The 12,723-nt window shown below is 41.4% G+C and overlaps 1 annotated feature.

Moving 5' to 3' along the window:
- Positions 12,634 to 12,723: an enhancer, noted in NCBI's record as "active region_19625". NCBI's record gives its function as "activates an Ori minimal core promoter by ATAC-STARR-seq in GM12878 lymphoblastoid cells {active_cell/tissue: GM12878}" and the evidence as "EXISTENCE:reporter gene assay evidence [ECO:0000049][PMID:35858748]".

The following is a 12,723-nucleotide window of genomic DNA, read 5'->3' on the forward strand; positions in this document are numbered from 1 at the left end:
TAAAAGAATTTCTTGAAATTAACCTATTTTCTAAGTTCGATGTCAGCCATAATTATTATAGACCAAGAGGCACACACAAACCCACTCCCTCCCCTAACCCATCTCTTAAACAAAAGATCACCCTCCAGTGACCCTTAAAAAGAGTTTGAGAACTATAAAGTCACAAGAATAAAACCTTAACACTGACAGGATATAAGCTGGCTACAGATGACATTTCCAACCCCCTCTCCTTGTCAGTACAAAAGATGCATTGGATGTGGGGGACAGATTTGTTGAGATACTCATGGACTTGCATGTGTGGCACTTTATGAAAAAATAAAAAGGAATCAGACTTCCCATTTAAATTCTCTCACCTCTACCCCTTCCTTACATTTTTTCCTTGCCCCCCAACTCTCACAGGAACAGAGTAACATGGGATAAAGAGGATGAGAGTACAGAAAGCAAATGATAAAAATATGTGCTCTTGAGTCATTGGAAGATTCTGATCCAAAGTAATGGGTGATTATTACTCCTTGAAGCCACAGTCAAAAGCAAATTTAAAATATTCCCTCCTTTTCTCCTGAAGTCTTTTTCTCCAATCTGGCAACTGGCAATGCACTAAAGGAATGTTTTCATCAATGTGTCCAAATATGTTATTCAAAGTAAGATTTTATATGAGATAGCCTCAGGGAACTTTCTGGAAGAAAAAGGCAGCCCCAAAATTGGATGCACAAATTGCTTTAAGGTTTTAAGATTTGGCGAAATATATTGTGCCTTCATTGTACCCCAAGCCAGAAATGGAAAAAAGAAAAAAGAATCAATACAAAGAATGACTTTCCAGGCAGTGCAAAGGGATTCAGTGTTTCCACAGGTTTGCAAGAATGCAACAAGCAAGAAAGGCAGTGTCCCCAAAACAAAGTGACCAGTCCTCTGAGCTTCTAGCTGGCAAGTTGCCCAGCAGAGATAATAGGATGTTATTGAATTTTCAGGCATCTCGGTCAGTGATGGAGGTGGAGGGGTGTTGCAAAAGGATAATGGAAGGAGCAGGGATTGGGAAAGCAAGGATGGAGGGGCAGGTAAATTCTGGAAGTGGAAAATTATTTTTCAAGCATAGAAAAACTTAAAAAAATACTACTGCACTACTGTGGAAGTCATGTACTAAAAGTGTCCTTATAAGAGGAGATGTGAAGGGTGGTACATGGGTCATAAAATAAACTTTGTGGCCAGGACCCTCTGACCACTAAAACCATAGATGCTTAAACAGAAAAATCCAATCAAGCAGAAGGATGGTATTCTCCAAGTAATAAGCCACTTCAGTGAGTATTCATGCTCTAATCCCAGGCCCAGATTCATAATAAGGGCAAAAATGTAAGCACACACACACGCACACACACACGTGCATGCACACCCCCACACACATACACATGGCTAGGGGCAGAGCATCCCAAGGCCCAAGTGTAGGAGGAGGCAATGGGAAAACACATTCACTCATTCAGTAGGAAAACTCATCCTTTTTTAATTGCTTTGCATTTGTTTTTCATCTTCTCTCGCATTTCTTCTGATGGTGATTATGATTGTATTTTGAAATCATGATCCACCGCTGCAGCACTGTAATTACATAAATATGGCATTATAAATGAAGGTTAGCACCAGAAATAGCAAAGCAGAGAGGGGTGCAATTTGTCTTTGTGGATGTAAGTGTATGTGTATATGTTTATAAATACCTCTCATTTATATGGCATTTGGAAATAATCTGCTAGTGCAAGCAAGGGGGTCTTAGGAAATAGAACAAAATCCTCAATCCCATTTTCAGCTGAAGAATACAACGGTAAGAAAAGGCACGTTCTTCCAGTCATGATAAATGGAGATTGTTAAGTAAGAGTTAGGCTTAAACTGAGCTCAGATTTCTCAACTGGCCTGGGCACCACTGGTTCTTCTTGTGGACAGGAATCAGTCTGTGTCAGTACAGCTTATCAACAGTGCTCTTCAGCAACCCTAGGACCTCAGAGAGTATCTCTTAACCTCCTATATTTCCTTCCGAACAGGAGAACATCTCTCTCTCTCTCTCTCTCTCTCTCTCTCTCTCTCTCTCTCTCTCTCTCTCTCTCTCAATTTCACTCACTTTTGCCTGCAGCACACCACCCAGTATCTTCAACCAATCAATAACTCAGTTCCTTTCACTCTCAGGGAAAAGGAAAATTCTGAAGTGTGTACCACACAGGGTGTGTGGTAGTTCTAAAACATGTTAACAAATTATTCAAACCTTCTCTCTTCAAGAGATAGAGACTGAGTTTTCTTCCCTTGAATGTGGGCTATACTAAGTGACTCACTTTGAATGACCAGAAGATGATAGTGATGCTATGTCATCATAGCATCACTTATGACCAAACCTAAGTCATAAGAAGGCGACTTCTCTTTGGCATCACTTCTACTGGGAAAAGCCAGCTTCCATGTCATGGGAACACTCTAGCAACTTGTGGAGAAGTTGATGCAGATAGGAACGTAGGTCCTGCCAACAACCATCACCAGTTCACAAGCTACATGGCTGAGCCACCTTGGAAATAGATGATCCAACCCCACTCATCCCTTTAGATTATTGCAGCTTTGACTAATGTCTTGGCTATATATAATTTCATGTGAGATCAGTCCTGAGCCAGTACCGCCTGGACAAGCCGCTCCAAATTCCAGATGTAAAAAAATATGAATGCAGTAAATACTTGTTATTTTAAACCACGAAATTTTGGGTCAACTTGTTACATAGCGGTAGATAACAATACAGCATCCTCATGGTATTGACCCCCAGTTACCCATAGCTCTCACTTGCTCATCAATTACCTCACTATGCTTCCTTGGATCACATCCAAAATAAAGAAACTTCACTCAAAATTCTTGTCTCAGGGTTTGCATTAAGAGTCTAAAACATGCCATATAAGATAGATATTATTCTCACTTTAGGGATTTAAAAAAGTAATATGCGTAGGTTACAGCTATATAGCAAATAATAGCAAAACCAGATTTTCTGAATCCTAATCCACTGCTTCCTGATTCATTATAGCTGCATCTCCCTGCCACTCATACCCCCATTCTTTGCCATTTTAAGCAACCTCTTTTCTCTCTCCAAGAACAAATCAGTTAATTTGCTCACTCGCTGCGGGCCTAGACACTCATCTTAATCTCAAAATTTAAAAACCAGTCTCAGTGAATTCAATAACCAAAGCAGGAACTTTTAGTCACTGAAGCCTAAATGTATTTGTTTTTCCTAATGATACCTGTACACAACAAGGAGGAACAATTAGCAAATCAATAAATTATTCGTTTGTTGATGTTAATGCAAAGACTATATGTGGCTCTACCTTGTTTTATGTCTAGACTACAGGTGGTGGCCTGAAACTGCTGACCAAAGAAATGACCATGCTGTGTGGGCAAGAAATGGTGAAGATAAAGCCCATATGTGCTGTACTTTCTGTTTGGATCAAATAAAATGTACAGCCAACTCATCTGTCAGATATTTAATCATAATCATTATTGTGTTATGTGGTAATTAGGCATAAATGGGACATAAATGACTCTTGCTAGAAGTACTTTATATATCAAAAAATTTTTGTGTTTCCAAATATCCATCTCTTTGATAATTTTCAAGTATCTGTCTCTACTTACTGTCACTGTAGTTGGTTTCCCCTGAGTCAGACCGGTAAAGAAGAATACATATGGGCTTTGGAATCAAACAAATCACTCACACTGTGTGATCTTGATCAAACCACATGACATCTCTAGGCCTCTTGTGTAAAATTGAAATGAGTGCCTCTCCAGCAGGGTCACTATAAGAATCAAATGAGAAACTGAAATGCAGTAGCTAACACTGCGTTAGTACGTAGTAGGTGCTCAGTAAAGATCTTGTTCCTGTCTTTTATATCAACATTACTTTCACATGCCTTAATGAGAGGTTCTTGATACTCTCTCCATGAGTTTTTTTTTGTATGCCCTGTATCCCTCCCCTGAGAGCAACTGCTTTCATTCTCCAAATCACTGTCTCATGCTAAAATCTTAAATTTATCCATGCTTTCAAAAATATACCTCTTATCAGCTGAAGAAAAATTTATACAAAACTTTTTTGTATATAACATGAAAGATGGCTTTGGGTCCACAAGTAGAAATAAACAGATTTCAAATGCATCTAGGAATAGGCATGTCAACACTTTGGCATGAATGAGTTCTAGTTACGGGCAATTTCTCTTTCCATTTGATTTGGTTATGGCTGGTGAGTAAGCTGGAAGAGACTGGTCATCTGAAAAAGCTAAAGAAGAAAATGGGGCTATGACTTGCAGTTGTGTTCATCCAATAGGAGGCTGGTCATATTTTGGAATAATTTGGCAAACATGTACAGATAGGAAATGTACTCAAAAATATTTCATGTCCTTGGGGCTGTGTGCTCTTTGGGGCCTTGCAGGCACTATGAAGATGAAGAGTTTGCCTCTTTCCTCTAGAAGAGATTTGTAAAAGCAGTGTTCACTGATAGACACAACAGCTCATAACAACAGCAGCAACAGGGTCAACTTCCACTTATTAAGGGCATAACATTTATTTGCATACCAAGGTTAACAAATCACTTTTACTTCTTTTCCATTTGGTCGTCCTGCAGCCCAAGTGAGTACTATTTTTAATTCCATTTTACAGATAAACAAGCTGAGACCAAGAGAGGTTAGACATAATGCCCCACAAGCCCTCAAATAGCAGGCAAAAGAATGAGGTCTGGATTCTCAATTCCACATTCTTTTCTCTTACCACACTCCCCTATTAATAAATAGCTTGTTTGTCTGAAGGATAAATGGAAGCTAATTTATAAATTCTCCAGCTAGCTTTTCTTGCCCCATATTGGTGTTTAGAGCCACAAAACCACACATCCACATTACATAGAGTGGTGTAGAAATAATTTTTAAATAATCACATTATTAGTCTTTGAGAAGAAAAACCTGCCATGAATAAAGAGATGATTTCACAGGGTCCAGGGTAATTGCAAGCAGCTGTGGACTTAACCATGGTAGATAATCCAGAGATAAAAGGTGCATTCTTTTGAGCAGTTGAGGCAGCCAACTTCTTTCATCAGTGCCTGTAACTTCTGCAGAAGGAAACATTCAGATCTCACCACAAAAGAGCAGACCTTCACTGGGTCATCTGTGACACAAACTGACAGTCAGGTTTTTATCAACTTCTCACCACAACATGGAGACTTTTAACCACAGATGTCCGATTCACATATAAAGCTCTCAACCCCACCAGACAAGAACCACTTTCAAATGTAATAAATAAAAGAATCACTTTCAAAATAAGAAAGTGAGGCATGGAGTACAACAAATACAAATTGAGCCAGGCACTATGCCAGGAGGGGGTCCCTGCCCTGAAGGGGAAGATAGGGCCATGGTTCTTAAGCCTGGATGTTTAATAGTGTCCCCTCAGGGCTTATTAATATCCCAACACCTAGGTCTCAATTTATTGATAATTGATTTTTCTCAAATAATTCAGAAACTCTGGGAGTAGGACCAGACATTAATATTTTTTACGTGTTTCCATTGCGCAGCCCTGCAGTTGAGAAACACAATTATAGTGGAATCCAAAGTGTTACGAATGTATTTGGTAGGATCACTTGAGACCCTGGTTGAAAATGCAGATGCATGGGCCCTGAACTATAGCTCCTGAATCAGAATTTCTAGAAAAATGAGTTGGGAATACACTATATTTTGAAGAAGAGCCCAAAGATTGTTATGACTAGAGAAGTTAGGCAAAACCTGACATTGTCTTCAAAAAATAATAATCAACAAAGTGAGAAGACAAACTATGGAATGAGTGAAAATATTTGGAAATCATCTATCTGACAAGGGGTTAATATCCAAAATATATAAAGAACTCCTACAATTCAACAACAACAACAACACAGGACAAAGGACTCGAATAGACATGTCTCCAAAGATGATATACGAATGGGCAACAAACATATGAAAAGATGCTCAACATTCTTAATCATTAGAGAAATCAAAACCACAAAGGTAGGAGATATCACTTCACACCTATTAGCATGGCTGCTGTCCAAAATCAAAAAAAGAAAGAAAAAGTAAAAAATAACAGGAAATGACAAGTGTTGGTGAGGAGGTGGAGAAATTAGAAACTTGTACACTGTTGGTAGGAACGTAAAATGGTGTGGCCACCATGGAAAACAGTATGGCGATTCCTCAAAATATTCAACATAGAATTACCATAAAACTCAGCAGTTGCACTTCTGGGTATATATCCACAAGAATTCAAAGCAGGAACTTGGAGAGATATTTGCACCTATGTTCATCACAGCATAATTCACAGTAGCCAAGAGGTGGAAGCAACCCAATTGCCACTGATAAATGAGTAGATAAGAAAATGTGGAATATACATGCAATGGAATATTATTCAACCTTTAAAAAGAAGAAAACCCTGTCACATGCCACAGCATGCATGAAGCTTAAGGACATTATGCTAGACAAAATAAGCCTGTCACGAAAAGACAAATACCATATGATTCCACTCATATGAGGTATCTAAGTTAGCAAAACTCATAGAAACAGAAAGTAGAAAGGTGGTTGCAAGAGGCTAGGAAACGGGAGATGACAGAATGGTTGTTCAATGGGTATGGAGTTTTGCTTTTGCAAGATGAAAAATTCTAAGGATCTGTTGCACAATATATAATTAACACTACTGAACTATACAATTAACAATGGTTACAAGGGCTCGGCGCGGTGGCTCATACCTGTAATCCCAGCACTTTGGGAGGCTGAGGCAGGTGGATCACAAGGTCATGAGTTCAAGACCAGCCTGACCAACATGGTGAAACCCCATCTCTACTAAAAATACTAAAAAAAAAAAAATAGACAGACATGGTGGTGTGCGCCTATAATCCCAGCTACTCGGGAGGCTGAGACAGGAGAATTGCTTTAACCCGGGAGGCGGAGGTTGCAGTGAACCAAGAACACGCCACTGCACTCCAGCCTGGGGACAGAGCAAGATTCCATCTCAAAAAAAAAAAAAAAAAAAATGGTTACAAGGATAAATTTATGTTATGTGTTTATTACCACAATTAAACATTGAAAGAAAATCTCTTTATGTTAAAAATCTGATACTGTCTAACACTTCAACAGTTTCCCTTGTCCTGTCTGTCTTTTTTGCAGCCCAAAGAGCAAAGAACTTGGGGTTTCCCAGTTTTCTATTCTGCAATAATAAAACAAAACAAAAAACGGGTAAGCCAAAATAAAAACCATTTTTCCAACTGCTTTCTAAGGAAGAACTTTCTCAATTATAGAAAGTTCAGACATGACTATAAATCTAGACAAGCCGATACATAGATTGCTCTGATTAAGAGAGGAGAGCTTTAAAAGTGTGCGGGATGGGAAGTCCTTGGATACTAAGGAAAAGAGGTGCCAGGAGCCTGGGCCTCATGTGGGGTCAGGAGTGAGAAGGGTGCCCCAGGCCATTTGTGGGGACCAGGACACTTGGGGGATGACATACTCATTGGGAAGAAGTAACACTGCACTGGATGTCATGGAATGTGGGATGAAGGCCTCCTGCACTGCTCCTATACTGTCCTTAATAAAATTTACTTGCTCACTCATCTTTCAGCATGTCAGAACCTTTCTGTGAAAAGTGAAGAACTGCACCACACACTGGAAGGCACGGGGCTCAGGCAGATGCCCAGCCTAGCCCAGCAAACAGCACTGCTGCTATTCCCATCCGCCACCATATTCTCCAGAGCCCGCCCCTGACCCAGGTCTGTCCTCTGCCTTTCTCCCCTCTGCTCTGTAACCCATATGGCCACAGAAGTCTCCTTGCTCTCTGGCTTCTGACAGGGGCCAACTAATGTGAACTACTAGAAGGAAATGTGAGGACAGGAGAAGGGAGTGAGGCCAGGATATTCTTCAACGAAACCCTCCCTCCTTCTGCACCACAGTTCTGAAAGTGGCTGTATCTTCCTGTGAAAGATGGGCAGCCCCTCTTCTATGGCTCCATTTCTCATGGGGCTCCCATAACACTGCCTGCTGCCCTTGTCTCTTCAGGTCTAGGGACAGTCTAGGCTCCTCCAATGCTAGTCTCTGGGGGTCTCAGCATCCCTTGGGTCCCCTGAACCCTATGCACACCTCTTACAGTATCATTTTAAAATTATCTGCTGTTTCAGTGGAATTCAACTTCCTTCTGGGACCCTGAAACCTTCTTGTTTGTGGGGGACAAAAAGGAAAGAATTCAATTGAGAAGAATGTAAACTAGCCAAGCTTACCATGAGTTCTTAAGAGACGGTTGCACCCAAGCATGGTCATGATCAGCACCCGTCACTAACACAAGTGCAATAATAGGAACACTTGAATTACATAATCCCCTGCCCAGAAAGAGTCCAAGATACTGCTTGTGTTGGGATTTCCTGTGCTTAAAACACAGAGACAAAAGCAAAAACATCCACACTGCTTGATTGAGATACCAGTGTCCCCCAAGTCTTATAAGACCTTTCAGAGAAGCTCCTGGCAGGGCCACATGTTGGCAATGCTTTATTTCAGTGGTCCCCAAACTTTCTGGTACCAGGGACTGGTTTCATGGAAGACAATTTTTCCACGGATTGGGTAGTGGACGGCGATGGTTTCAGGATGATTGAAGTGCTTTACATTTATTGTGCGTTTTGTTTCTATTATTATTACGTTGTAATATTTAATGAAATAATTATACAACTCACTGTAATGTACAATCAGTGAGAGCCCTGAGCTTGTTTTCCTGCAGTTAGGCAGTCTCATCTGGGGGTGATGGGAGACAGTGACAGATCATCAGGTATTAGATTCTCATAAAGAGTGTGCAACCTAGATCCCTCGCATGCACAGTGCACAACAGGGTTTGAGCTCCGATGAGAATCTAATGCTGCCCTTGATCTGACAGGAGGTGAAGCTCAGGCGGTTATGGGAGCAATTGGGTGTGGCTGTAAATATAGATGAAGCTTCACTGGCTGGCTGCTCACCTCCTGCTGTGTAGCCCCAGTTCCTAATAATTCGTGGCCCAGGAGTTGGGGCCCCCTGCTCTATTTGACTCTTGGGGGGTGGGGAGGAGAAATCCCCTGGAGATACTAGAAGGACAGAAGGAGAGGGTAAATGAGCAAATAGTGAGAGGAAGGCAGCTAAGTTCTAGGCAATCACAGTGGGAAAGTTGAACACTTTTAATCACAGACTTCTTGCCAGAAACTGTTAGTTAAACTTCTGAGCTTTCAGGCTGAACTTGGAAATGACCATATTATCAGGGATAAGTTCTCAGCAATGTCATGGAGAAATCTGTTCAAAAGGTCTTTTCAGGGCCCTGCAGGGTTGCAAGTGTCTCTGAACAACTAGCAGGAGGAAAACAATAACCAATTCCCATTTCCCCACTCCCAGCCCATCGCTCAGACTCAGAGACCTCTGTTTTCTCAAGCCCTATCAAGGATTAGAGAGGTCCAGAGAAGGACAAGAAAATATCCAGGGGTTTCCAGTAGGAGAAAAGGCAATTTCAGAACATTCAGGGAAGGAGATTGTTTGAGCTAAAGAAAAAAAAATAAAATAAAAAATAAAAAATAAATAAATAAATAAATAAATAAATAAATAAATAAATGAAATTGAGAAATGTAACCAAAGGGTGGGATAAAATCCAAATTGGTAGCCAGAAAGTAGGTGAGCTGTGGAAATGAACAGAATCATGATGCGTAAGTATTAAAATGGACCCAAAGTGGCATAGTCACTTTGTCTCTGAAAGCCACTCCACTACGTCCCATTTTAGGCAGAGAGGTTAAAAAGAAAGTCTGGGGGTGGCTCTGTGCTTTGGAATTAAAACAGCATCTGCGATATTATTAGCTGGGCCAAGATATGCAGAAGCTATCAATCTTTCTGCTTGGGGGAATAATTGATTGCCAAAGCGGCCCAGACAAGCTGCTTCTCCCTCCCTGAGGTCTGGCCCTGAGTTCAGCACAATTAACTAAGTGCTTCTGTGCTGGAGAAGGCTGGGAGCACAGTTGGCTCCCTCTTAAGCATGAGGTGCTTAAGGAAGGAGAACTCGGCTTTATACCTGTCCCCAACTGGGACGAACACCATCCACTGATATTTCTTGTGAGTGGAAACACTGAGGGGTGGGACTGGGCTCTTCTTTAGGATTTGGGAGACTGGTGAAGCTTATAAGCACCTTCCCTGAACAATGTTTTTATGAATATAAAATAAATACTAAGGATAACAAAAGAATACAGCTAACAAGATATTTAAAAAAAAATTGGTGATGTACTGATAGTTGTGTGTCTTTATTAAACGTTAATAAGATATAGTGGTGGGTGCAATAACTTAGACTTATGGAAGTAATGAATATTTCAAAATATCTACAATAGCTGTGTGGTATGAAAATATCTGTATAATATGTGCTGAAACTGCTAATTCTTTTTTTTTTTTTTTTTTGAGATAGAGTCTCACTCAGCTGCCCAGGCTAGAGTACAGTGGTGCAATCTCTGCTCAGTGCAACCTCCGCCTCCCAGACTCAAGTGATTCTCCTGCCTCAGCCTCTCAAGTAGCTGGAATTACAGGCACGCATCTACCACACTCGGCTAACCTTTTGTATTTTTAGTAGAGATGGGGTTTTGCCAGGTTGGCCAAGCTGGTCTGGAATGCCTGACCTCAGGTGATCCACCCACCTCGGCCTAACAAAGTGCTGGGATTACAGGTGTGAGCCACTGTGCCCGGCCTGGAACTGTTTTATGGTGGGTTTCTCACCTACATTTATCACAGAAAGAAGTGCTAAGTTTCATTCGGATGTTCGTGAAAATAAATAATTTTTTAATCCAAGTTTATAGATCCCGGACTTCTCTCCATGTGCCTCAGGTTAAGCTTTAAAGGTGTGTGGGATGGGAATTCCTTGCATACTAAGGAAAAGAAGTGCCAGGAGCCTGGGCCTTGTGTGGGGTCAGGAGTGAGAAGGGTGCCCCAGGCCATTCTTGGGGCCCAGGATGCTTGGAGGGTAACACACTCATTGGAAAGAAGTAACACTGCACTGGAAGTAAATTGTAATTTAAAATGACAATGACCCTCTCCCATCAGAGTGAGCTCTACATGAAAATACACATTCACCTTTTTTAATTTAACTGGGCTAGCAGCAAATCCCTCAAACTGCTGGCCTTGAAAGTCCTGAAATCTGGAATGAAGGGAAAGAATTATAGACAGACAGTAACTCCTTTCAGCTCCAAATCCATCCAAATTAATTGTTGTTCATCCCTCTTCCCTGCTGCCACACAGAAACAGACTGCACCACTTCCCCCTCTTTTCCTTGGTTCTTCCTCATCCCATTAGCGTTCTCATATGGGGGTTTGGAATAGATGGCTACTGAGTCCATAGAGCTCACTAACTACGTTGTGAACAATCTAGGACTTTGGGATGGTTTTACTCAGTGACATGATCAGGTTTGTATTTCAGGACAATCACTCTGGCTTTAAGACAGAGAATATGACTCCAAGCCAACCACCATATACCATCTCAGGGCCAACATCCTTGTCCAAGTCACCACCCACTCTTGCCTGGGTTGTTGGAGTAGCTGGTTAACTGGTTCATCTTGTCCTTTCCTGCTGGCCAATTCTAGCCTGCACCTGCTTTTGTATGGTCTGTGAGCTAAAATAACTTGTGGAAATTTGTTTTCCCTCTTGTTATATAAATACCTTCATAATTAGTACCTCGATTTTGCTTCCTGGCCCACAAAGCCTAAAATATTTACTATCTGACCCTTTATAGAAAAAGTTCGCTAACCTCTGCCATGGCATATCAGTCCGATCCAGCCAGGAAACCAGGAACCGTTTGCTCCACTCACATGGGGGGAATTTTACTAGAGAATGGTTTAGCCAAGGGTTATAATAACTGAGGAGACAAACAGAACACAGTGAGGCAGCACAGAGATTAACAACTGCAGGAAGCTGCTACCATCCTGCAGTTGGAGGAATATGGGAGGATGTGGTGTAACTAATCAGGGCCAGGAAGCTGCAGGTGGCCAACAGAACTGAATGATATGCTGCTACGCAAGAGGTGCCACCCAGTGAAGTGGTGGGGGTGGGGGGGGCCTTAGGGGAGAAAATCCTGGGTCCTCACTTCCTCTGACCCCCAATTTCATAGCAATACTTCCTATCGGCTGAAGCTACCTGGAGAGTTATTGTCAAGGGGGCCTAGAAAATGTAGTTCTCTGAAATACAGAACACAGCAAGAGAAGGAGCAGGCAGGAAATTGATATTAGAACAAACAGGCAAATGGGCAGCTCACTTAAAAACTGAGGATAACACTTGGCTTTCAAATGTTCTCTAAGAGCTGGAGATGATTTAAGTAAGGGCTCTGTGTTTCATTCCTGGAGCAGAGCAGTTAATGTTATTATCCTCATTATTACTATTATTAGTTAACTTCTACCCTGCACTTGGGTTCCCTGTATTGAGTTGTCCAAGCTAAGCATGATGTTGTGGCAGAAGATGGAACTGTAATTGACCTGATTTACCCAGAAATTGTGAGGAATGGAATGAAACTGGACCACATTTATAACTTCCACACATATGGGGCTGGGCCCAGGAACGTGCACCAACCTCCATCTCCCATCCAATGAAATCATTTCACATCACTTATTACAGTCCAGAAGGATCGTGAGATTAGGAGTTTGCTGTTGCAAAATGCACTCAGAGATGCTTTGTGCTAGTGGGGACTTTTTTTTTCTAGAAGT

The sequence above is a fragment of the Homo sapiens genome, chromosome 3 (genome assembly GCF_000001405.40).
Source record: "Homo sapiens chromosome 3, GRCh38.p14 Primary Assembly".
In the NCBI taxonomy this organism is placed as follows: Eukaryota; Metazoa; Chordata; class Mammalia; order Primates; family Hominidae; genus Homo; species Homo sapiens.